The sequence below is a fragment of the Homo sapiens genome, chromosome 5, assembly GCF_000001405.40.
Source record: "Homo sapiens chromosome 5, GRCh38.p14 Primary Assembly".
NCBI classification, from domain to species: domain Eukaryota; kingdom Metazoa; phylum Chordata; class Mammalia; order Primates; family Hominidae; genus Homo; species Homo sapiens.
Genome location: NC_000005.10, coordinates 129,092,547 through 129,120,303, shown reverse-complemented (window position 1 = coordinate 129,120,303; position 27,757 = coordinate 129,092,547). Strand labels below are relative to the sequence as shown.

Here is a 27,757-nt window from a genome sequence, read left to right as displayed (position 1 = left end):
ATCCCTGCCAAGGTATCAGGTGTGTAAGTAAAGCCAGCTCTGACCCTCCAGACCTGCCCAGCTATCAGCTGAACAGCTCAAGTTACTCAAATCAATACCATGTTGGAGGGTAGAAGAGTCAAAAAGCTCTAACCCAGTTCCTGACTCACAAAATCATGTTCTGTAAGTTCTTGCTTTAAGCTACTAGGTTTCACGATAATCTATTCCACAGCAATAGATAACAGAATCGGTCAAGCAGGTAGGGGAGGATGGACAGATGGCCTAAGGTCTATCACAATCAGAAGGCAACAAATACTATAAACAAGAAAGGTTATTATTTTGGAAACAAAAACTATGCAGGGGGATGTTACCAACTGGGAAGATGCTAGACATGGTCTCTCCTGCAGGGGAGTTGGAACTTCTTACATGATAGCTCAGGGCTCTAGGAGTTCACCCAGAGGCTGTCAGTCCTCTTAAAGACAAGGCCCGGAGCTTACATGGTGTCATTGCCCCCATACTCCAGTGGTCACAGCAGTCACAGCTAGCCAAGATTCACACAGTAGAAAATGACTTGTTAGACACAGGAATAGAAGCTAAGTTTTTCTGTCAAAATGCTTGCTGTGGTCTGAATATTTGTGCCTCCTTTCCCCCACCCAAATTCCTGTTGAATTCATATACCAATGTGATGGTATTAGGACATGGGTGGTCTTTAGGGGGTGATTAGATCATAAGGGCAGAATCCTCATGAATGGGATTAGCACCCTTATGATAGAGACTCCAAAGAGCTGTCTTGCCCTCTTCCACCCGTGAGAGGCAAGAACGCCCTGTGAACCAGAACTGGAGCCCTCACCAGACACAATCTGCTAGCATACGGGTCTTAGATCTCCCAGCCTTCAGAGTTGCAAGAAATAAATTTGTTGTTTATAAGCTGCCCAGTTTATGGTATTTTGTTATAGCAGTCTGAATGGACTGAGACAATGTCTTACTCTAAGTTCTCAGGCAGAGATTGCTATTGAATAATAATTCATTCAAGGGTCAGCTTTATGTGTCAACTTGGCAGGGCGCTAAGTTCTCAGCTATCCAAACACTAGTCTGGGTGTTATTGTGAGGTTATTTTGTGGATGTGACTGAAGTTCATGATCTTTAAGGAATAGCGATTATCCTTGATAATCTTAGTAGGCCTGATTTAGTCAGTTGGAAGCTCTTAAGAGCAGAACTGGGGTTTCCTAGAAGTTCCAACCTACAGACTGCAGTGTCAGCTTCTACCACAGAGTTCTATCCTGCCCTTCCTGATGACCTGCCATACTAATTCAGGCTTGTCTAGACAGCCCTCAAATTGGGTAAGCAAATTCCTTGCAATAAATTACTTTATATCTCCTACTGGTCTGTTTCTCTTATTCAACCCTGACTGATATGGTTTCTAATGAACAATTGGGGAAAGAGAGCAAGAGGAAACACCTGATAATGTAAAAAAGCTTAAGAGCCGATCCATACTTCAATTTTCATTAAAGCCCCTTGGAAGGGATGACCTGGCACAGAGCCCAGAGCATCCTTCCTTACACTTCTCCCCTCTCAGCTCCAGGCTGGTTCAGGAGATAATCCCAAATCTTCCCAAACTCCAAAGTTTGAATAAGGCTGAGAAAAGGCCAGAGGCCCTAGAGAAAATCTGTGGTTAACAAAAGGCAGAGTGAGCTGTAAAAATATGAAACTGGGGAGGCAAGGGGAATACACAATTCAAGCAGTATGACAGGGTCTGTAACCAGAAACCTGTGAAGACTGGACATTTGGAGAAAAGCCAAAGACCAAGGGCCAGTCAGCAAATAAGCCTCTGAAGAACAAAGCTATTTACCCCAAAAGAAACTCAATGAGATCTTGGAGTGATTATATTTAGCTATGTTTTCCACATCAGTAGAAACACAGGGCTAGAGAGTTCAGTTCAGTAAATACAGACGTTTGATTTTACACACCTCAGATAAGAATTATCCTTCTCTTTAGGGGAGGAGGTTTCTGCCCTTTCCTGTTCTGCAGTTATCACCTGTGCTGTGACATTTCTCTCACTCTCTGAATCCAGGACTTAAAGAATGCTGGAGAGGGGAGCGCATACCAGGAAACCAGTGATAAGGAGCCCGACTTGGGACCTGAACCTTCAGGGAGATTTCAGTTATTGTCTGTGGTAGGCAGATGGACAGTCCACAAAGATGTCCATGTCCAGGACAAGAAAGACAGGTCGATTCTACCAAATAACATAGATAGTACAACTGAAAATATAACTAAACTGCATGAATGATGATACATGCAGGAGGAGCAATGTGGAGATAAGATAATGTAAGTAAGCCAAAATCCTGATCTTCCAGGGGAAACAATTAGTAGACATTACCTAAAAGTTTAAATAACACCTTTCATAAGCATATTATTCAGTTATGAAGGCAGCTGGCAGAGGAAGACAAAAAGGCTGTTAGAGTGGTTTCTTCCAGGGAATAAGAATAAGGGTAGGGTAGCAAAGGGAAGGAATAGGAAACTCTTGCTTTTCACAATACAGTTCCACACTCTTGTTTTCTTAAAACACCCTTGCCTGTTATGCTATTAAAATTTTAAAAATCAATGAGTAAACCCAGTATTCTGGCAAGGACTAATTTCAAAAACAATGCTTTTATTTAATTGGGGAAAAAAGTTCATTTTATTACAAACACTAAGTGAGCCTGATAATATCCACCTGAAGTCCTGCGTGTTTAGTAAGACAGCTCTCTCCAAATAAAAATGATTGCCATTTTTTTAAAAAGCCAAATACAAAAGTATTCATTTTTTATTGCTGCATAGCAAATTACCACAAATTTATTAGCTTAAAACACAAATTGATTACCTCATGGTTCTGTAGGTCGGAAGTACAGGCACAGCATGGCGATTCTCTGCTCAGAGTCTTACAGGCGGAAATCAAGATGTCAGCCAGACCTCACTTCTATCTGGTGGCTCTGGGGAAGAATCTCTTTTTCAAGCTCCTTCACATTGTTTGCTGAATTAAGTGATGGTGGTTGTACGACTTAGGTCCCTGCTTCCTTGCTGGCAAAGGCCTGCTTCCAAATGATAGGATCCTCACATCTTTACCATGTGGTCTCTTACATCTTCAAAGTCAGCAAGGGAGAATCTCTCTCCTGCCGGAGACCTCTCACTCTTAGAATCTCTTTCGCCAGCTAGAGCCCAGTCCCTTTTAAAGGCTCAGCTGATTAGCTTAGGACTACCAAGCTAGTCTCCCTATTTTAAGGTAAACTGCTTTGAGACCTTAATTACCTCAGCAAAAACTCTCCACACCTGTTACCTAGGTACCTAGATTAGCATTTGATTGCATAATCGGGAGGAGGTGTGTGTATACCAGAGAAGTGGGACTCTTGGGGTCCATTTCAGAATTGTTTCCTATAGCAAGCAAATCAAGATTATAATCTCTCCAATAGGAATTAATAGGTTTACATACTGCAGGTCAAAAATCTTTAAGTATATAAATGCAATGCTGAATTTTTTTCCAGCATTACTGAGAAATAATTGACAAACACTGCAAATATTTAGGGTGTGTGCTGTTTTGATATATGATATATACTGTAAAATAATTGCCACAGCAAAGCTAATTAACATATCCATCATCTCACAGGTGTGTGTGTGTGTGTGTGTGTGTGTGTGTGTGTGTGCATGAACATTTAAGAACTACTCTCTTACCGTATATCAAGGAGCCTGTCTTCCAGAAATAAGGTTTCTTGATAAGATGGTCTACTGTTAAGGTACAGTAAGTAAAACTTAGGAACAACTTAAAGGAAAGCAATATGACATAAAAATTCTGAAAGCCAACTCCACATATTTAAAAAACTCAGTTCAATCATATCTAGGTAATTGATAAATCTCATTATGGTAGCTTAATGATTTTTAAAATATTTTAAATCAAAGTTTACATGGTGAAAGAATGCTCTATAGAGGACTAAGGAAGCACTAATCAATTTAATGATGTGGGAAAATTAATTCAAAATTAATAATGAAAATGACTAATTTTCATATATTTTAGCCATTTCCCCAAATTAGTTAGGAAATGTGCTTTAGAGAAAATCATCAAGGAAGAAATAAGACTAGATTTAAGGTTACAGCCAGGGAAAGTTATTAATTAGTAGCAAGAGTATATCCCATTAGCTTTGCCAATCAAAATTATTGTTACAGAAATTATAAAATGCATACTCTTTTGTATATATTTATTGTTCCTCTCTCTTTGATAATCCTTAGCATTATCACTTAATGTAAGAAAGAACAGGACAGGGAATTAAGTAACCTCAGTTCTCATCCTGCTGTGCAACTTTGGAAAAGTCATTTATTTCTGGGCCTCACTAACTGTGTCTGTAAAATAAAACCATTTTAGAATTTGGGAGCTGAAATGGACCTTTGAGATCATGATCTTTATAGTTCCACCCAGTTCTAAAGTCATATTTACACAAACATCAACTTTTAGAGAGGGAATATATTCCACGTTGAGAAATGTATTACTTTAACGGATGTAACAGGATATTTTGTTTCCTGATTGGAATAAGTTATCACTTTTAATTTTAGAATAAGTTTCTACAGATGTTTTAGCATTTCAATAAGTGAATCCTCTTGCTCCTGCTCCCATACCCTTGCAATTCAACACAATGACTACTCTTTTGCTTATGTAGTCAAGTTCTCTATTTACATCAGTTGAAAGAATTTCATTATCCTACAAAGTTACAGATGCTTCCAATTTTAAGGCATAATGTATTATAATCAATTTGGTTTTCTTGTAATAATAAAGCCTTGTCAGTGACCTGCTTGGCATGATGTACAAAAAAAGAGAGAAGGCAGAATTCACAGTTATTCTGAACTTTAGTATTATATTGACATTCCTGGACCTCTGATATAATTTAATTCAATTCACATTTACTGAGAATTGTATCTGATTTTGTGCCATAGCATAAGTTTCCTAGGGGCATCTTTTTATCCTAAGCACAAAGCACAATGTTTAGAACTTAGTGGGTTTTCAAAATGTTTCCAGAATGACTATATATAATTCACGGTCTCTGCTTCCAGAGAGCTTATAATATAGCAGGAAAGATGGAAATATGACAAATGACAAAATGAAATAAAATACTAAATCACATGGCGGTGTCTGTGTTATACAGAGTGGCCACCAGAGATGTTAATGTTGTAAACCCTGGAACCTGTGAATATGTTGTTACACAGCAAAAGAAAACTTAGGTTGCAGATGGAATAAGGTTCTGATCAGATGACCTTAAAGCACATGAGCTCTTAAGTCAGAATGAGAAAGACAGAAGAGTGAGTCAGACAGATGTGACATAAGAAAAAACAGATACACCTTCATTGGCTTAGAAGAGGTAGAAATGGGGTCAAAAAAGCCAAAAAAAAAACCAAAAAAAAAAAAAACAAAAAAAAAACATGGGTGAATGCTAGAAGCACAGAGCAGCAAGGAAACAGTTTCTTCCGTACAGCCTCCGGAAAAGAACACGGCCCTGCTGATACCTTGATCTTAGCCCACTAAGACTCATTTCAGAATTCTAACCTACAGAACTGCGAGAATACACTTGTGCCGTTGTTTTACGACACTGTTTGTGGTATAATAGTTTGTTATGGAAGGCAGGGGAAACGAAGCTGACGTCACAGAATTAGTTTCACCTGTGAAAAGGCTTCACTGTACTGGTATTTCACTGAGCCCTGAAAGGTTTGGGTGCAGTGGAGGAAAACAGTTGTCTGGAGTTAAATTCTCGCTATTTCAAATATGGTCCTTTCTGAACAGCACTGGTGGAAAATGCCCAATTTTTGGAAATGCGAAATGTCACCTTGGAAATGCAAAATGTCACCTCAGGCTGCACAACAGACCTACTGAGTCAGCATCAGCATTTTAACAAGATCCTCAAATAATTTGCATTCATATTAAAGTTTGAGAAGCACTAGGTTAAATTTAATAAAAACTTTTTAAAGGTGCAGAAATCTTTGATTCTTCTTTTTTGACACACAAATGGTTGGAAAAAAGTATTTAAACACACCAGGTTGCTATTTGTTACCACTGCCAATAGGAAAAATAAAAAAAATCTGCTCTTAATGAAGAAGGCCTTTCACCCTTTAGTAAAATCCATCTGCCCCTACGTACAAAGGATTTTCCTTCTTTGAAAACTCCCATGAGTTGAAAGATTATAAATGTCAAGATTTTATTACCTTAAATAAATATTAGAATCCCTGGAAGAATACTCATAGAGCCATCTTGTGGAGGACAAAATAATTTCAATCACAATACATTTTCTTTAATTACTTTAATATAAAAGACAGCAGTTTCACATTTCACATATTTGAAAAACATTTCAAAACCCTCTAACAAGTATTTAATGAAAATAAATTTATCGAAGAGAAACAATGACCACAAAATTAATACTACCAAATCATTACTGAGACTTTTTGCATTACAATATTTGGAGAGTAGGTGAAGAAAATATAGAACAGAACATGAACATTTTAAAATGATATTCCACCCAAGCTTTATCTTTTTGCTAAATCTTGTGGACACTAGAATATATATTCAAGATGTTGGTAAAGATATTCAGCAAGCCATACTTCAAAGATGTTAAAACAGCCCTCCACCAATAATATGGCATTGCAAACCCTTCTATCCCATCCCTTTTCAGTTAAAAGAGAGAATATTAACAGAGATTTAGTAATAGTGACCAAAATAAGAAATCAGTATAGTCAAGAAAGATATGTAATTATTCAACATCATTTGGTACGGATAGATCAATGCAACTCACTAAGTGGACAACATTGTGAGGGGAGTGGGTAACATGATTCAGAGTCCTGTGGGTAAATTCATATGCAATAATCTTATTCCAATCAATCTGTAAAGTAAAAGCACTACATCCACATTAACATTATAACATCTTACAGTAATATAAAAGCCAAATCATTGTTGGTACGTCATTTTCTTTAAAGTGAACAATTTAAGAAAACTTCACAAGAGTCTGCACTTTGGAAAGATACGATCAGAGTACACAGTAGAGACAAAACAGGCATCTTCATTGTAATTTTTTTTAATAAATAAAAGCACATTAACAAAAAAGGAAGGTAAGCAGCACCGGAAGCCTTTGACGTTTGTAACTAAATGCTGGTACTCAAATGGTCTAGCTGGTTAAGTTTCACTAGGAGGCGCAAAAAAGGAGCCGTTTTTGACTTAACATTTTAATTCTAGTAGAGATAAGAAGAGCTTGTGTGGGCTTACAGTCCTTCACCTGACTGTCCTTCACCAGTGAGTAGCATACCAGTTCTTCAAATGTCCTATACTTTGGAAAGCAGACCCGACTCTGGAGCACTCGCCTTAATTAGATTCTGAATTTCCTTGAATTTTGGATGGTCCTTATCAGCTACCAGCTGAAGCAGAACAGCCTCACTCGTGGTCACTATGATCCCGGTTCGAGCGAGACGCTTGAACAAAAAGATAAAGGCAAATCAAGAAATAAGCATGAGAATGAACACTATTTCAGAAGAGTAACACTATGCTGGGATGCAATAATTAGTGTCCTCTACTGAAACCGTGGTTCCCAGCCATACCATCAAGTTCAGTGATGGGGATGGATTTCAAGACCAGGCATACCACAAAGTCAATATGATTATTCTTAATATTAGTAAAATGGAGTAGAACGAGTAAAAGGGAACAGGTAGCCAAAGTTATGACATATATGTGCCCAGAACAGGAAAGTCATCAAGGCAAATGACTGTAAAACATGAGATGAGAGAGAGAAAAGGAATGGTTGTTACTACGTGCCCATCACTGAACATCTGGACATTTAGTTGCTGCTATTTCCTGAACACTCCTGGCAGGTTTGTGCTTCATGTCTTACTCATTCATTGACTCAAATGAGGGCTGCTTGTGACTTCTAAATTTATTAAACTTTTATTTCTATTTCTACTACTGAGATTTTTTAAAAGGTGCCTCTGTCCACTTTTCCCCCTCTGTAGTTTAACTGATAATACATGAGATCGTGATGCATATTAATACTTATGCCTGGCACCCCTGGCATTTTGTAGCTCTTCATGTTTTAAAAATCGAGGGGAGCGTAATATTTTAAAGCTCCATTAGCTGTACTACAGATATAATTGTAGCTGCTAGAACATTACATTAGTAATTTACTATCAAATTTCATATAAATTGTTTAATTGGATTAAAACTACTATAAGAATTAAAATGATGGTTCTTAATTTCTTTTTACTGCACCCAAACATCTGACCTATAGCATATGAGTCCTTCCTATAATTAACAGTTCCCTTGTCTAGAAATGACTGGTGCTAAAAGAGCTCTCTCTGTGTCAGGAGACTCCCTGGATGATAAGAGAACCACCACTACTGCTGCCATCATGAACATTTTAATACCACTAAACAAGAGTGTAAAATTCAAGGTTGTGTAAAGTTTCACTGACAGGTCAAAGAATATCCTTGCCAAACTGCCCCAGTGGAATCATAATACTAAGGACAGAAAGCTCAAGGAGGAAAAGAGAGACAGAAAGGAGAAGGCAAAGGGGAAAGAAGGGAAGGAAGAGAGCAAAGAACAGAAAGTCGGGGGTAAAGGGTAGAGAGAGGAAAGGAGGAAAATAGAAGAATTCTATAGCACAGATTCATTCTCTGGATTTATGTGTTATCAGAAATCCCAGGGAAAAAAAAGACACAAACTGTTATCACAAAAAGCATATATGTAAAAAGCATGAAAGAGGAAGTGGTTGGAAACAATTCCTAGGTAAGTCAGAGGCAAAAACCCAGGAAGCCCTTGCATAGCCAAAATATCCTTGCAGAGTGTAAGTCAGTCTTCCTTCAATGGCTGTACATCAGCAGACTGAACCTTTCCACTGGCAGACTCTTTATTTTTATCCGTAATGAAGTATAAGGGAGTATAAGCCATAACCTACTTGTCAGAAAGCAAGCTTGGACCTTAATGACCAGTACAGAAAAGGGTGCAGAGCAGCTAACCAGAACTTTGCAGCAATTTTTTAAAAAAAACAAAATAAAACAAAACAAAAACAGCAGCTATTTATGGGGGGGTTGGGGGCCTGGAGTAAGGCCATAAGCTCAGACACACACCAGGGGTGAGTTATCTCTGAGTATTTTTTTAAGACTTCTGGAAGCCCTAATTTCCTCCTCCTTGCTTTATAGTCAGCTGATTAATCATATCAAAACCATTCAAAAATATGAAAAGATCGTGTGCTTGCTTCAGACAGAAAGGCAGATAATAAATATGATAAGCTGCAGTCCAGTTGTGTGAAAACAGCACTGAATGTCAAGTCATTCATGTCCAGCTCTCCCCATCACCAGCTGCCTGCCCTGCTCAGCCCTGCCTTCCTTACTGCTCACTGTTGAATCAATGGACTTGCAATGATTCAGTCTGAATCAAGGACTAAATCACAGGCTTTCAATGTCTGTGAGAGTGCTTTACACTGTATACTCCAATGTGCCAATAAAGGTTAGTTCTCGATAATCTCCCCAGTTCCTTAGTGAGACAGGAAAGATAAATCTGTTCCCAGGTCTAAGGAAGGAATCTGGTGACGCTACAAGAAGCCTGTCTACAATGCCCAGCACTCCCTAGTGCTCTACTGACCTGAGCCTAACAAGCCTCAGTGATGCTGAGACTCAGGTGGCCATAGCAGGGGCAGAGTGGGAAGTGTACATCACAGAAATACATTTTAGGAAAGTGACACCCATACACTATCACTTTGCTTCAAGATTGAAATGTGGCCAACACTGACTGGGTTTTAAAATCATCTAGCCAGGAACCTGTGTTAGGGAAAGGTGTAGCTTAGCAAATGCAATGGTTTTCAATCTGGCTCTTAGCCATTCCCACAATGCCTGCCCTTTCCCAACCAAAGAACGTGCCTGAGCAGAGAAAGAACAGCAGGAGCTTTCCAGACATACCTAGCAAGTCCCTGCCCACCATCCTGACAATGCTGGTCCCAAGTCCACTTTCTCTCCTGGCTTAAAAAGGGGCAGTTAAAACTCCAGCCATTTAATGCACACAGGTACATGTGCATTAGACTTCTGAAGTTCTCCCCTTACACTTGCAAAACTAATCCAACTAGGCCAAAGGAAAAGAAGGATTGCTCTGACCCACAAACCTAAAAAATGCATGTGCACTAAGTCATGAAAGCCTCAGAGAGGGGGGAAAAAGACTAAACCCATTAGATTTCCAAGCAACACTAAAACTCCCCGGAAGTACAAGGACATCAAGGTCAAGAGAGGATTTTATTCTCTTATTCTTCATGCACTCTACAATTGTTAATTGAAAGGAGTAATGTCTTTCAGATGACAAATACCCAGAAAACATTTCTTGAATAAAGCACATGCCACAGACCCTGGTACAGTGAAGTTTCAATAATGCAAACTATGAATCTTAAAATAATCTTAACAGGCAATATAGCTAGTCTTGGGAATTATCTTCAGTAGTTATGTTCTACAGGAATAGAGAGGAAGGGGAGAGGACCACAATGGTATTTTAACTTTCACACTTATGGAAACAAACCAGAACACTTAACATTGCCCCCTTCCTCAAATTTAGGAACAAGGTATATCGCCTCCGTATCAAATCAAGACTAAAAGGAAAAAAATCTGCAATATGGCAGGTGTTCCCTATCAATCACCACCTGACTTATCTATGATCGGTTTTCCCTTTCAACCTCAACACTTTAACCCCAGGCAATGTTGGTGCTCCAGGCCCTTCCAAATCCACCCCAGACAACAGATTCTTTCCCTCCCTTCTCAGAACTTCCAAGAACTAGTCCCTTCTGGGTCTTAGAGGTTATATACTTACACATTTCTGGTGACTAACCACGTGAAGACAACAATCAGTAACAACAAAAAAAGCAGCAGCTAACATCTGAGTATTTACTATGTCATGCACTGTCCTAACTGCTATCAATATATTATCTCATTCCATTCTCACAAAAATCCTATGATCTTGTTGCTATTATCATTTCCATTTCACCAATGAGAAATCTGAGGCATAGAGATTACACAACTTGCTCAAAGTCACAAATTTACAAAACACCAGAACCTGCCTTCAAACCCACATTATCCCCACATTGTGTGGATTCCTAATCCGAGAGATTACAGATTGCCTCTAAAAAGAATGGTTCAGATGGGAATTGTTTTTAATCTTGAGTCTTGTGCAAAGACAGAATTGCCAATCAAAATTTTGTCATTAAGTTGCCATAACAAAGACATATCTAAGAAAATATGAATGTAGGAGAAAAGTCCTTGAAAAAAGTCCTTTTTTACAAGCAAGGAAGTTTGTTTTGTGTTTTTCATTTTTTATTTCCAAAGTTCTGGACCTCAGCATTACAATAAAGGTTTATCCACAGTGGCTGAAAGAGCTGCTGGCTGAGGTGGTGAGGACCTGACAATGAAGTATTTAAACTCAGGTTACCAGGAAAACCTGAAAAGTAGGAATTGATTAACTCATGACTATAAGAATAGATTAAAGGTCTGACCGGGCACAGTGGTTCACACCTGTAATCCCAGCACCTTGGGAGGCCGAGGCAAGTAAATCACCTGAGGTCAGGAGTTCGAGACCAGCCTGGCCAACATGGCAAAACCCCATCTCTACTAAAAATACAAAAATTAGCCGGGTGCAGTGGCAGGCACCTACAATCCCAGCTACTCGGGAGGCTGAGACAGGGAGAACTGCTTGAACCCAGGAAGTGGAGGTTGCAGATGAGCCAAGATTGTGCCACTGCACTTCCAGCCTGGGCGACAAAGCAAGACTCCATCTCTCAAAAAAAAAAAAAAGAAATGGATTAAAGGTCTTTGTTGAGATTGGAAGAAGCAGCAATACTTAGTACCTAACTACCAGATAATCTAATAGCCTAATGGACTTGAAAATAGCTAAACAAAATAAATAATTTCTATTTGTAATCTCAGTATAGGATTCTGCTTCAGCAATAACAGAGAAGGGAGAGCCAATAAGGACCCTAAAACACCTGCTGTGGCCAGCTACCTGCCTGCTTCCCACCACCCTGTGGCCCTGTACTCATCCCTTCTTTCCTCTGATAAGGCCCTCCCCTTTCTCATTTGCTCTACCTTACCACCCTGGGGAACACAGTAGGCTAAAGGGATGAGTTAGCATTCCTACTACAGACAAGGCAGTTCACAGGCCAGACTGTGCATAGAACACTGGAGGGTCTCAACAAAACAAACCCATGTATTTCCCATTCTCAATAAACAGTTAAAGAACTCAGCAATTAAATTCACATGCACATTGCTCTAAAATTATTACAAAATTAGAACTAAATATGAGAGAGAGAGAGATCAAACGACAATATGGAGTGAATATTTCCCAAGATTATGTGGTAGTTTGCTTTTTAACAGTCTTGAAAAAGAAAATGCTTGACATCCTACTGTTGGGCAATGTTGACAGAGAATTACAGACTCCCTGATTCCATGGGACATGGTGACATTCTAATGCCAAGACTACCATGAAACACTGGATGTGAGTGGTGTCCACAGTCAATGACACACCACTTAGTCCCAGAAATTCAAGTCTGAGGAAATCTAATAGTCATCTCTGGTTCCTGGATGCCACCCCACCCCATACCAAAATCCATGGATGCTCAAGTCCCTGATATAAAACAGCATAGTATTTGTATATAATCTATGCATATCCTATATACATTAAATCATCTCTATATTACTTATAATACCCAATACAATGTAAATGCTATGTAAATAGATGTTATTCTGCCCTATCATTCTATTTTTATTTTTATTGTTGTGATGTTATTTTTTATTGCTTTTTATTTCTGATATTTTCTATCTGTGGATACAGAAGGTCCACTATATATTAAACTGGGTTAGGCCTGCTCTGCTCTAGCTTTTGGCTAAATGAGTTAAACCCAACTGAGCTATTTTTAATTTGCAAACCTCTAAACAGTTTAGGTTAGGCTTCTTGGAATATCTCCTAGTTCACGTATAAAACTAGGGCAAACGTATGACGAAAGATGTAAAGGAGTTTGTGGCAACGCTAGAAACCTTGATCTAAGGAGGAAACGAGACATAAAATAGGATATGGTGGTGAAGCCTTAAGGGTCAGTCAGTGCACAGTTGAAATCAATTAGTCTGATATTGCCAGACCAACTCAAATTTAGGAGGTAAACCTTTCATTACTGTTAAATATCCAGTATTCTTCTCATTTATTTGGAAAACTTGACAAATGATCTATTCCCAAGCAGGACAATTACCTCGAGGGCAAACATCCTGTCCATCATGCTTCTTGATGAGGTGGCATCAGCAACAATGTGAACCTCGACTCCTCGGCCAACTAGCTCCAGGGCAGTTTGTTGGATGCACACATGAGTCTAGTAGGAAAGTACAAGAATCATATGTAATAACATAATAAACTAAAAGTAGTTTACAAATGTACAACAACATGATAAAGCAGACAGAGCACTACAGATCATCTAAGGACCTTGTTCTACATCTAGTTTTGCTTCTAATTAGCTAGATAATCTGGAGCATAAAACAGTATCTCTGGCTTTGGTTTATTCATTTGTAAAATCAGGAACTGAATTAGGCCAATGTTTCTGATACTAAGAACCTTAAACATATTCTTAGAGTTTTACAAGAATTTGTTAAAGATTTTGCTCCATGTGATCTGGATGACCTTCACATAGCTGATTTACTAGCACTCAGTTTTGGTGCGACTTTGAGTTTTTTTCTTCATTCACCCTAAGTGTCCAACATGAAGAATGAGTCTTCAGTCTTGCAGACTGAGAACTTAGTGGGAAAACTGAGTCATTATGAGGCACTCTGTAGTAAAGGTAGGCCAAGTGAAAAATAACTTATGACACGGGAAAAAAATACCCAGTTCATATCATCCGCAAATGTATTATACAGATTCCATCTTTGTAAGTACTAACTTGTGTCAATTCATTAACAGATACTATAGAGTGAAAACAGGCTGCAACAATGACTGAATCATGTATTACAACCAATGAAAGTACATTTCAATGATGCCACGTCAACTTTATCTTCACATGACAAGAGCGTTTTGGAGAATTATCAAATGACACCTCATTAAAATTAGCATTGAAGGACCACTCAAAGATAATTGTGATTGAGCATAAGGTCTAATGATGATGAACAAGCAAAAAAGGTGCAAAGCCAGCAACAGCACTTGGTACGACATATTTATACAAAACAGGCTTCTTCTTTACTGTGCCAAAATACAGAAATATTGAATATACATCTAAGCCTGAGGAAATATCTTTCTACTGTTAAAACCTACTACTATAAAAGTTACCTTCAAATTGTCATAATCACATTAAATTAATATTTTGATTTCATTGTTTTAGTGGTTTTTTCTTAATTTTTAAAATTTTAGTTTAATAGTTGTTTAAAAGCTAGGAATAAATCAATTGAAATCAGCAATAGGAATCCATTAGTATTTTTCCCCTGTAAAAAGATACATACATGATTTGAAGGACAATGAACTACATGACCTCCAAGGTTCTTCTAGCACAAAAATATGACCTAACTGAAATCCTACAACACATACATTAAAATAATGCCTTTGGTGAAAATGTATTCCAAAAGTAGTAGTTAAAAATACAGGACCAAGAATCAATCAGCTTACATACATTCAAGTCAGTTACACAACATCTCGGTATTTTAGTATCCTCTTTAATATGGGGAGACTACTGAGTATTTAGCTCTTACTTGGCTTAAGGGACTTAATAAATAAACAGCTATAAAATGTTCAGATCAGTGCCATGCAAATAGTGAACATAATACATGGTGGCTACCTTTCCTCATTATTACTGCCTACCTGGCATACCATATATGAAATTACATTCCACAAATATTGAGTTTTCTATAAATAATATTGTGCCTAAATGATAGTAACAGGTACTTACTTCTACTCCAAATAATACAACACTCCTGACTCCGGGAATCTCTGCTAATGCCGCTTCTACTTCTGGTAATACCATTGAAAACTTGGTCTTTGGAAGTACCAGTTTTACACCTGTTAAATCAATTTCTTGAACCGTGCTCCCAAGACCTTTAGGGTATTGTTCTGTTACAATAACAGGAATTCCTAAAATCCGGGCCCCTTGCAACTGAAAAAAAATAACCAAACACAAAAACAATTAGCTATATACATATATGTGTATATATGAGTGTATATGATGATTCAGCAAATATGACCAAATAAGTAAACAAGCATACCAATCTCTGTCCCACGCTAATAATATCCCCAAAATACTTGATGGCTGGTCTGAACCTTTCCTGCATATCACAGCAGAAAAACACAGTGCTTGAAGGTGTAAGATTTCCCAGGGTAGTGAGCTGAGGAAAAAAGAAAAAGAATGATTTAGCACTTGTTGTACAATGACATTTATTTTCAGTGGAGGTCAATAAAGGAAGAAAAATGGTCCTATTGTTTGAGCCAGTAAGTCAATTTCTACCGCTATTATCCAAAAAAAGTATCTGAATTACAGGAAAAAAAAAAACTCAAAAAGATGTTCTCTGAATTGCTTTTAATAGCGGAAATTAGAAATGAACCAGCCAACAATACAGATATGATATAACACATTTTAACACATTCACATGACAAAACATTTTTTAGCCAATTAAAAAACATATGTATATGTCTTCAAAGAATTCATACCATCCATGGAAAAATACTCATAATGTTAATTTTTAAAAAGTGCAGTTCAATAGTATTTCAATAATGTAAAAATATGAATAAAAGTAGTAGTACATTACAATATTAACAAGTGGTTATATAATTGGGGTGTTGGTAATTTCTTTTTTTATACCATTCCTATATTTTCCAAGTGTTATTTAAACACATTTCCTGAATGTTATTTAAAGAAATTTCTTTATAATCAGAAAAAGTGTTACAATAGAAAAAAAATCTGATGTTGCTGCTTGTAAGTATAAAAAGTAAAACTTAAAATATCTGTAGCAGGAACATAAAAACTAAAAACAAAAAACAGACAGAAGCAAATCCAGAATTACTGCTATCATCAAGACAGAAATATGAAAATGCTATTCTCAAGAATAATTTTTAGAGTTCAAACAAAATGCAACGAAATGATACCAAGCACACCACTGCTGTTAAATGAACTGTCGTTTACTTCACAAGGAAGAGACCTATATTTGACATCTCCATTCTTAAACTATAGTTATCACGATAAGGAAAGTCAATGAATTAAGATGAAAAGTGGATATTAGATTACCAAACCTCATATTAGCTGCTGTAGTTGGTCTATAACAATTTGGGCCCAATATGGATCCACCAAAAAGCAAAAATCACCATTAAATATGAGAATTTACTCTCACTGGATTCTTAAAAGTCTGAGGTGCTTTTCTTTCTTTTGCAAATTGCAGGAAGTACTGTAAAGGATGTGTTCTGGTCCTGAATGAACCATTATCAATACCCTTACTAGCCGCTCCCTTAAATCATCCCTCTAATTATCCTACTTTGTTTCCCCTAAAACCACCTACAGATAACTATTATTAATAATATTCTAAAGGAGTCTGTGTCTGGATTACATGGTGTGGCTTCACCACCAACACAGCCTTAGACTCTCCTTAGTATCTCTGCAGGGGTTGACTCTCTGGAAACAATTACTACATGAATTAAATTAACCATTAAGAAATCTTTAATCCTTAATGATATAACTGTTCTAATTGGTTTGCACTTTGTTTTATCTATGTCCTGGTCTGAAGTACCCTGGCACTTTAATCTCCCTCTGGTACTGACTCTATAGATGTGTATTAACTAGCTATGCACAATCCAATACCAAATTCATGTTAGAATGTGAGAGCCATCTGTAATTCTTACTCTATGTATAGGGTTTTCCTACTTTTCCAATAAAGCATGATTAAAATAAATTCTCAAGCATATTATATGTTCTAGCTTTGGCTGTTTCTTTGCTTAATTTTAAATGCAAGTATTATGCCTCTGCTTTGGTCATTTTCAAAAGCAGTGACTAGGATCTTATATACAAATATAAATGCATTGCTGGGAAGGCTAATTTTTGTGCATTTAGGATACTATTTTAAAAACCAATCACTAAATTCTCTGTAAACATCAAATATTGACTCAAAAGGCTCAATATCTACATTTTTATAAATTTGAATCATGGACTCGTAGGCATCCACAATGTGTTTAGGGCACACTACATAAAGCAGTTTGCCTGCAGCAGGCCTACTGAAATAACCATAATGCAAGTAAGCCAGTCTCACCGTTTCACAACAGGTGAGAACCAGCAAAAACAAAAAAAAATTTGAAAAATAAAATTCCTGGGCAGTTGCGTAAATGTGGTGGAGGCCATTCACTAACATGCTTAGAGCTTACACTTGCTTAGAATTCCAGCTCTCAGATCCTATTTTATACTGTATTGACTACCTCTGTATACATTCCTAACAAGTTTCATTGTCTGGATTCTAAATTAACAGAAGGCTATAAACAGCAAATCAGAAAGGAAACTGCTGGAGGCAGGCAAACTGATAGCAGCAAGAAATGATGGCTGACAGAGAAAAGATTCAAAATACAATAAAAACAGATCAAAACTCAAATAATGCTACAGTCTAGACCTCCAGTGGAAGAGTAAAAAGCTGTTCTAACTTATAAATTAGGAAAACATCATTCCAGCACACTCATTAAGAAAACTGTTAAATTATATATTTCAGAAGGACTACATTATAAAATGGTCAAGATATTTTTAAGTTGAGGTGTTTAAAAGAATAAATCCTTACCTACCCAGGAATCCTAATATCCAGAGTTGTGGTCTCCAGTTCTTGCTAGCTGGTGTTTCCTGCCCTTCATTTTAGCTATGGGTTCTGGACAGGGGACTGCATCAGATGTGTCATATTAGACACACATTGAGGAGGTCAAAAATACAGCCCTAAAATCCTCACTGCCCTGGGAAATCTCTCTAGTATAGGAACTTACCATCCACAAACTCAGTAAACAAAGAAACCATAGAGAATACAGTGGCAAGGCATGTTTTTAAAGCAGAGTACAGGTTACAATTTACTGAATAAAAAATACCCTACCTTTCATAGACATTCTCCACATGCTGTTGAATATGATGTGGAGAGTATCTATGTAAGGTGTTTAACTCCCAACATCCTCTTGAATGTGGCTGCACTTAGTACTCTGCTTCTTATGAGGAGAGTATAGAGGGGGAAGAGTAACTTTACAATGGAGAGACCTGACGACTGTGTCTCAGCCAGGTGATCAAGATTAATGTCATTAATGACATCATGTTAATAACATGTACCTTTGATATGATGTAATGAGAATGACCCTTGTGACCTTCCTCTTGAAATTTCACAACCCCGATCCAACAATGAGAAAAACATCAAATGAATCAAAATTGAGGGACATTCTACCAAAATATCTGACCAGTGCTCCTCAAAACTGTCAAGGTCATTAAAAACAAAGTTGAGAAACTGCTATAGACTAGAGGAGCCAAAGGAGACAAGACAACAAAATGTAATTGGTATCCTAGTTTGGATTTTGGAACAGAAAAAGGACATTAGGGAAAAGCTAGTGAAATATGAATAAAGTGTGGTTTAGTTAATAGTAACGTACCAATGTTGGTTCTTTGGTTGTGACAAATGTACTGCAGGAATATCAAATGTTAATGTTAGGGAATCCAGCTGGGCATGGTGGCTCATGCTGGTAATCCCAGCACTTCGGAGGCCAAGGTGGGAGGATCACTTAAGCCCAGGATTGCAAGAGCAGCCTAGGCAACACAGTGAGACCTTGTCTCTACAAAACATATTTTTTTGAGACAGAGTCTCACTCTGTCGCCCAGGCTGGAGTGCAGTGGCGTGATCTCGACTCATTGCAACCTCCACCTTCTGGTTCAAGCGATTCTTGTGCCTCAGCCTCCCAAGTAGCCGGGATTACAGGCGTGCACCACTGCACCCGGCTAATTTTGGTACTGCTAATAGAGATGGGGTTTCACCATGTTGCCCAGGCTGGTCTTGAATTCCTGGGCTCAAGGGATCTGCCTGCCTTGGCCTCCCAAAGTGCTGGGATTACAGGTGTGAACCACTACACCCAACCCAACCATATATATATATATATTTTTTTTTTTTTTTTTTTTTTTTTTTTTTTTGATTAGCTGAGCTTGGTGGCCCAGCTCCTCAGGAGGCTGAGGTGGGAAGATCCTCTGAGAACGGGAGGTCGAGGCTACAGTCCAGCCTGGGCAACAGAGCAAGACCCTGTCTCACAAACAAACAAACAAACAAACAAACAAAAACAATAGGGAATCTGGGTACAGGAATATAGGAACTCTCTGTACTATCTTTACAACTTTATTGTAAATCTAAAGCTATTCTAAAATAAAAAGTTAGTTTTTTTTTTTTAATGGCCTCCCTATGCTATGATATTTGGGGGAATAACGTCTATACCTTACAAACAGAAAGGAACTTTTGTGGCTACCAAAAACATACTGAAAAACTTTAATCATGTCCAACCAATCCTCCCAAATCCTCACCCCAAATCCACATGAATTCCAACAGGCTGTTAAAATCATACAACTCTCTAAATTTCGGAAATTTCTTACTTTGACTCATGAAGTTCTCTTAAACCAAAATCTTTAAGGTAATTAAAAAATATCGCCAGTAGCCAAACATTTACATGTTGCAACTGTAAGACAGCCAGTCCTGCCTCAGCAAATTAAAAGTGGACTGGACCAAATGTCACCAGGAGTAAAAGCATAGCAATTACAGATCTATGCATATTTAAGGAATATAAACAAATCACATATAAATATATGTATCCACACACCTTCGTATATCTATATGCCTACACATAGTCCTACACACACATTTGCACATGATACATATACAAATATATATATATTTAAATATAAAAAGTTGATCATAGCCAATGGCTTCCTCAAGCAAGAGTTTAAGAGATCAGATTCAAGTATAAATATTTTGTCTACTTTCTTAAGAATTGTCATAGCTGGGATTTGACCTTAGATTTCATACTCAAAAGACTTTTCACATCACCCAGCCCATAGCAAATTACTATAGGGATTTGGAATAATTAAAATTTGAAACTGTAAATGCGATGTTTAAAAAATTTGGTAGTCAATTAGAGTCACAAAATAGGCATGATCTGTTTGGGAGAAAGTCTGGAAGGGGACCTGGGGCATCGTTATTTCACTCCCAAGTGTTTCTGAGGAAATCCGATGACCACAGCTATAGTAAGGCCTGGCTCCAATGTCAACTCACTTACAACAGAGGTCTGTGATGTGACTCCCCCAGGTTACAAAGATCCCCTTTATAGCACAAGCCTCAGTAGGCATTAGAATCTGAGTGCAAATCTCAATTTCACTAATTTCGATTACATGAACTTAGGTAAATATCTCCATATGCAATTTCCTTATCTGTAACACAGCAAGAAAAATAGTATCTACATCATAGGGGTATTTCAAGGATTAAATGGGCTTCATATAATCAATCAATAAATGTATTAGGCTATTCTGATGTCCCTCATATATTAAACACTACACTCTAAAACTTAGCATATGTTAAAAAACTTACCCTCTAATGAGGATAAATATTTACAATTAAGATCCCTTTAGAAACCTATAAATATATTTATAGGAATGCTAACATTGCATAACTTGTTATGTTAACATAATATGCAGAATAAGGAAAGTGAATCATAAAGTGATTTATAAAGTAGATTTCCAGATGTTACCAAGACCTTACCAAATCACTAAGACAAGATTGTTCCTGGAAAAACAGATCAGGGACTTTTTAATTTAGGCTGTGAAATAATACTTATTGGCTCTTATTTTTACAACATATTCACCTATTGTGAACATTGATGTCACTGGCATAAGGTTACAACCCTAGCTTATCAGTTAAGGTATGAGTTTTCTAAATCCCCAAGGGACGCCAGCTGTCTCCACCCACCCCAGGGGTGAGGACTGAAGGATTTCTTAAGACTGTGCCTCAGACTGGGGTGAAGGTGAAGCTAGACAAGCCCAGGACCACAATGACATTTGAATCTACATTGGGATTCCCTTGGTTAGCTAAATGCAAGAAAAAAAATTCAAAATTCAGATCATAGCTCCTACTCTCAAACACAGTTTATTTATAGGTAGCTCTAATGTATTCAGAAGGAGCAAAAAAGGATACAATGCTTTAGGTATTATTCTGGAATGTTAATTTTTTTTTAAGTGACACACATCAAACCAATGGGGTAGAGACAATACAACCACCTCAGGATCCAGCTGTCTCCTCTCTGAGCATTAGCTCATCTACCCCCTCTTCCTGCCACGCTCCTGAGGCAAAGGTTTTGTAATCAAAAACCACTACCTTCAAACTATCAAGCCAAAGGCGAACAAGGTTCCTTTCCTCCTGCCTTCCCTCCCTTCCCACCATGAACCTGTCAGTCTCTTCTAGCTATAAAATGTTCATGCCCCTGTTTAAAATAATAATAATAGTAATAAACTTCCAAGAAAATGAAAGCTGGAGCAAAATGCCCTGCCAGTTAACCATCTTGGGAAAAGGTCAAAATAACCTTCCCTGGAACGCCCTTATCTTCTGGCCACAGAAAGCTGCCAAAGCCTTCCCTGCTATGTACAGAAGTAAAATCCCCTCACTGGCATCCTTCTTACACTGTCCATTTCCTCCTCTCTTCTCTGCAGGCTCTGTCTTTCCTGGCCACAGGCTGGAAAATGCACTGGTGGTAGCATGATACAACATTTATGTAAATTTCCATAGTTAAATGTTTCCTTTACCTAAAACTTACAAAATACCTTTTGAAAAATTAAAACTTTTAAGTCATAAAAATGACGTAAATCCCCACTACATAATCCTCTCATTTATATTCTTTCCCGTGTCTCAAAATTCATCAGATCTCAAGCATTTGGCAAAGCTGCAGACATACAAACCAAGCATGAAACATGAGCTATGCCTTCATCTACCTGAGCTGTCGGCAGACATTGTTACTTTGACAGAATATTTAAGAAAAGAAGTCACCAAAAACTTACCACAGCCTAATACTGGCAATGGGGGGTCTTAAAGATCAGTTCTCATAGAACCACTAACAAGCACGGGTGCAGTGTGGCAAAGGCAGCCACTGTGTTTCACAAGGTCATCAGCCACAGCTGTCAGAATAAGCACGAAGGCAACTCATACCACGGCGCAAATGAAGAATACATTCTAGACTAACAGTACGTGAGCCAGGGCCACAGAGGCTCCAGGGCCCAAGTGTGGAGAAATAATAAATCACTATTTACGCAATGAACTACATGTGGCCAAACTTGTGCTCTTTGTCCCTGCCTTCAAGAAGGGGCCAACCATCCCCAGTAACATGGACTCACCGATAGGCCACCTTGAGTCTTCCTAAGTGACAAGCATTTATTCCAAAGAACAAGGAGCAGCACCAAGACAAATGAACAAACAAGAGCTCAAGTTTGTGACTTGTTTTCCAGACTGCTCAATTCTCATTAAACATGCAAGCAGTAGTGCTGTGTTCGGCTGTAAGTGACGCTCTGCATATGCCTGGCTAGCTCCTCCACACGCATTTGTGGAGGAGCTAGCCAGGCATATGCGGAGACTTGCCATGTAACCTGCAGCAAGTTACTCACCTCCACCTCCCTATGTTCTTCTGCACTTCCTCAAAGTGAAAGTTCATTTATTAGGTAAGGAACAAGAATTGAATCCAAGTTTGCATTCACTGTGCCAGGCATTTAAAGCTGCCACTCACATGTTGTGGAATGAACTGTATGGTCTCTTACAGCCATAAAACATCCAAGTCTCTAGGATTATGCTGTTAGGTTCCAAAGAATATAGTGTACAGTAGTCATGAGAAATATCATGACTTTCTGAGATTATACACACATATGCATATATATGTATGTGTGTATATATATCTCTCTCTTCTCATATAGACATAAATCGGTATCAGAAGGTATATACGATACACAGTGTGTGCATATTTATGTATCTATCCCCTTCCTTTATCTACCTCTAAGCTAGGAGAGGCATCAGGCTGAAGAAGTCAAAGTATAACTACTAAAATGAGATAATATAGAAGAGAAAATATTTTTAAAGAATTAAAAATATAAAGCTATATAAATGCAAAAATATAACTAATGCTTAAGAATTATTAGACTAGTTGGCGGAAAAATTTCTTCTGAAGAGGGAGTAGAGTAATGCTATTGTTATTTTAAACCTCACCAAAAAAAAGTGAACTATACATAATCTCCTATACCAAGCAAAACACTGCAAAAGCTACAGGTGACCAGAATTATATAACGCCTTTTGAGAATGTACAAGCGTTTTCAGGTACATACATTTCATTAATTTCTAGAATGTTTTTAAGAGTTGCCAGACCAAGGCCCTGAAATTTTCAAATATAAAAATCCTATCTTGGAAGGCGGGGACTCTTACAGAGCTGGGGCCTAGTTTAGAATAGCATTATCTTAGATAAGAGCCCAGCCTCCCTCCAAGCCGTAACAGGAAATGCTTCATAAAGAAGTCTGCATCCTTAGTCCCAGACCTCCGCAGTTAGTATTTGGATTCTAGCCTTTATAAATGGACTTCTCAAAGGTGCATCCAACATCTGAGTATTCTGGCAGCAGTAACGTAAAAGGACTGACAAGGAAGGCTGCAGAGAGGTGTCAGACACGAAAACGCTTGAAGACATAAAAATGAGGAGTCTTAAGCACCTAAGAACTGCAATTCCCTATCTGAGCAGCAGGTAAGATTCTGGGGTATCAGATCACTGTATCCAGTTCCAGGTTCTCCACTGGCAGAGAGTGCAGTCTCTGACTTTGTCCTCTGAATGCAGGAACTTTATCGAAGCTAAAGTACCTGCTTTGGACACTTCTGGCACAGGTGTTGGGGTGACAGGAAACATCATCAATTCAGCTGCCAACTACAGCGGAAAAAAACTAGGGAATAATCCTCAGAAAATGGCACTGTTAATGGGTACAAAAAACACAGATAATAGGAATAAGCTCTAGTGTTCAGTAGCACAATAGCGTGACTATAGTTAACAATAATTTATTGTATATTTCAAAATAACTACAAAAATGAATTTGGAACAAAGAAATAAATGATAAATGTTTCAGGTAATGGATATTCCAATTACCCTGATTTGATCACTACACTGTATGCTTGAATCAAAATATCACGTCTCCTATAAATATGTACAACTATTATGTGCCCATAAAAACTAAAAACAAAAAAGAAAGAAAATGACACTTAAATATTAAAATACCTTTTATCCCCGAATCCCACATTTCAGTTTGGTCTTCTGAAAAAATGACTTATCAGTTTCTCAGCTAAAGAAATGATATCGACAGTGTACTACCTAAATTATACCTTATATTCTTTCCTTTCCAAAATATAAATTCGCCAGTGAACAATCTGATCCTAAAGAGGGCGGAAGATTAACCCGCCTAGCATGAGAGCACAGCTTAAAATAAATGCTGTTAAGTAGTCCTCAGGTAGAACAACTTTCCCAGCCAGCAGGCCCAGGAACTCAAGGTCTAGCTTAAGTTGGGTATTTGTATTCAAGAAGGAATTACAATCATGGAGTCAAATGACTTTTTCAATGCAGACGACAAAACGTAATCAAGTCAGTAGACACTTTACTAAGAGGAGGCTAAGCAAATGGTTATTTGCTTAAGGTTAGGGAACTCTTAAGCCCAAGGACCTGAGAGCCTGGGAAGGCGGGGGGGAATGGGTTTGACTCCCAAAGTTTGCGTTTCCGCAAGTGGTTAACACAACTCTAGGAACAAACCCTAAGACCAATACTCCCCACAATCTCATTTCCCCCCATTCTGCATCACCCATCACCCCAAAATAAAAACAGCTACTACAGCACAGCCCTTTGGTTACGCAGGAGGCTGGGACCTGATCCTGGCATAAAAAGCGGATGCGGGCGACCGAGGACCACACACGTGGGGGCGTTCGCGGGCGCTGAAACCAGCTACGAGGCCCACGCCCCCGCCGGGGACAGCTGGTGACCATCACCTTTGGACAGGGGCATTCCCCAGCCGGCCCCGGAACTTGCGAAAGACGCGCAGCCCTTCGGACTCAGCCACTCGCGCAGGGCCCGGGTCCCGGGCGGCTCGGGGCACCTGAGGAGCGCGGCGAAGGCGGGGACAGGGACGGGGACGGGGACGACTCGGGAACAGGGAAGCGCGCGGCCTCCCGCAGGACCCACCTGGATCTGCAACGGCACGAGGCGCACCTTGCAGCGCTCGCTCACCGCGAAGCCCTTGGGCAAGTCCACGTACTGGCCCCACTCCTCGGCGAACAGCTGCACCACGAATTTGCGGTGCATGTCGATCTGGTCGCCGTACAGGCTGAGGAACTTCTGGATGAGCAGCTCGTAGCCCGCCCCGTGTGGCACCGACGAGGGTCGCGCGAAGACTGAGAAACAGAAGAGCACCGGGACTGTGCCCGACGGCGCCCCCGCGCCCCCGGCGCCGCTGTTGGGGAGCGCAAGGACCGCCGGCTCCGCAGCCGCCATGTTCCCCCGAGCGTCTGCGAGCTCCGAGGCCGCCCAGTCGCACCCAGCCGGCTGCCGCGGCCCCGCCTCCCGGCGATGCCAGCCCGCCCGCCAGCTCGCGGAGGCGAAGGGGCGTGTCCTGACGACCGCTGCTCGCGCGCTCTCTTACCCGCCCCGGAGGGCGGGCCGCGGCGTAAGGGTGGGTGGTGGGGCCGGGGTGCGCGCGTGAGCCAGGGAGCGCCTGCGCTCGCCGGCCGGGTCCGCCCCCTCCAGCTTCCCGGGCCGCTGCGTTCCCGCAGTTCCCCGCTCGCGCCCTTTCTGCCGCGGTTCTGACTGCCGGCAGAACGCCTAGTGGTCTCGCAGACCCAAGACCCGCCTGGGCTGCCCGTTGTTCTTGCCCCGGTGCTGCAGCTCACACAAGGGTTTGTACCACCCTTCCCCTAACGCTGGCCCTCTTCGCGGCTTCGCTCGCCTTCGAATGAGCAGTGTTCTTGGCAGTCTAGGGTTGTGGTTGGGTACACAGAGCCGCCAGGACGAGTTACCTGTTGGCTCTGTGCAGAAGCATGCAGTCCTCCTCGAGATGGCAGTGGTATCTTACAACCAAAGGGACAGTCCGATAGATACCCTAAGAAGAGCAGCAGAATTTAATCCTTAGAGGGCCAGTCAAGGTTCAAGTTTTGTCTTTTTTCGGTCCCACAGAACACAATATCTCTAGGAATGGATTTGATATCTGGCCTCCCTTCATCTCAACCTATTTCTGGGAGGACTTGGATTTGGGAATATAAATACTATTAAAAGCAAAAATCTGAACTTTATATTGAAACTAAGGATATCTGTTTTTAAGTAAGTAAAAGGGATCACTTTCAAATAAAACAATCCTCTGCCTTCTGCACACTGTAAGGCGCTATAATTAACTGGAATTAGAAAGCATGCATTATGAACAGAATTTCCTTGGAATTGAGTCCTGCGAAGATAGGCATGGGCCTAAACATAAAATTAGATTTTAGGTATTAAAGCTGTCCTCTTCTAAGAAAATAACCTTTAAAGCAGGGTTTCCCAACTGACACTGTTGACTTCTGGAATGGACATTTCTCTTTCTTGGGGATGGGGCATCTTGTGCATTTGCAGGATATTTAGCAGCATCACCGGCTTCTACTCCCGCTAGATGCCTAGTGACCGCTCCTCCCTCTAGTTATGGCAATCAAAAATGTTTCCAGACATTGCCAAATATTCCCCAGAGGGCAAATATACCCCCTACTTGAGAACCACACTGCTTTAAAGTTATGAAAAGACCATCCTTTGGTGTTTCTTGCTCAATTGTACCGAAGCTACTAGAAATAGCCATTTTTTTCTGGTTCTCATCACACTTTGAGAGATCCCATTTAAAAGTGTTGTCTGAACCCGTCAGACCCAAAATGATATTTTTTTCCGGATACCACTCCATTGCAAGGTCTTCTATATGCAGATATGCTGATTTGTGCTAATAAGTGTACCCCCTCAAGACCTGATTACCAAAAGGTACCTACCTATTTTGGGTGGACTAATAAAAGTGTTCCTTCCACCCTGTAAAGCCTCCTAACACAGAGTAGGTTGGAGATTAGAGATTGGCCTAGACTTCAGACATCCTCAGCGAGGACCTTGGCATCTACACAGTCTTCTGCCGTGGCCCTCATGGCCGTGAGTCAACATACTTCATTTCCCTTTCATGTTTTTAAATTAGGTTTCTGACCCTTCAGTAAGGAAATCAACTTCCATATATATTGTGCTGTCTGAGATTGGTCCTTGACAACCTAGTTTAATGGTGCAATCATTGTGGTAATAGCATGTTAAATAACATTAATAAAATAGATATTTGATGGGCACATTTACCATTTATTGAATATCAACTGTGTATCAACCTCTGCATCACTGGGCTGCAAAAGGGAGGTGAATGCACATTTCAGTGATAAATTATTATCCTCAGAAATACAATTATTAAGATAATTTTTATAAATGTTACCAGAAAAAGTGAGTAAGACCCCATAAATGAATATTCAAATGACAAGTAGAAAATAACTGTTCTAATTGACAAGATCATATTATGGACCAAATGCCCAAAATTTTCTCATATAGGACTCTCAGTAGCTTTATTAGTTAATGTTAAATGCTTACTTTTAGAATCTAAATTCCAAGAAAATCAAGAAGGTATATTACACAGTATTGATTAATACATTAATATGCTACAGAAACAAACCCCAAAAT

At 39.4% G+C, this 27,757-nt stretch overlaps 1 protein-coding gene, 1 long non-coding RNA gene and 1 other non-coding gene across 3 annotated transcripts, besides 1 other annotated feature; 1 reads left to right on the top strand and 2 right to left on the bottom strand.

The window, feature by feature from the left end:
• Positions 1 to 6,275: 6,275 nt before the first annotated feature.
• ISOC1 (isochorismatase domain containing 1) lies at positions 6,276 to 25,555 on the bottom strand. The gene is made up of 5 exons (NM_016048.2): positions 25,229 to 25,555; positions 15,229 to 15,348; positions 14,916 to 15,119; positions 13,242 to 13,358; positions 6,276 to 7,449 (listed from the first exon to the last, which is right to left on the bottom strand). Exons 1-5 carry the CDS (start codon positions 25,535 to 25,537, stop codon positions 7,303 to 7,305), a joined length of 897 nt encoding a protein of 298 aa, NP_057132.2. The 5' UTR covers positions 25,538 to 25,555; the 3' UTR covers positions 6,276 to 7,302.
• MIR4633 (microRNA 4633) lies at positions 22,538 to 22,616 on the bottom strand. The gene has a single exon (NR_039776.1). It is a non-coding gene; the product is annotated as a microRNA 4633 (primary transcript).
• Positions 23,525 to 27,378, top strand: LOC124901060 (uncharacterized). Its single transcript, XR_007058926.1, has 2 exons — positions 23,525 to 23,755; positions 24,905 to 27,378. It is a non-coding gene; the product is annotated as an uncharacterized LOC124901060 (long non-coding RNA).
• Positions 25,158 to 25,937: a silencer, noted in NCBI's record as "silent region_16298". NCBI's record gives its function as "represses an Ori minimal core promoter by ATAC-STARR-seq in GM12878 lymphoblastoid cells {active_cell/tissue: GM12878}" and the evidence as "EXISTENCE:reporter gene assay evidence [ECO:0000049][PMID:35858748]".
• Positions 27,379 to 27,757: the final 379 nt, after the last annotated feature.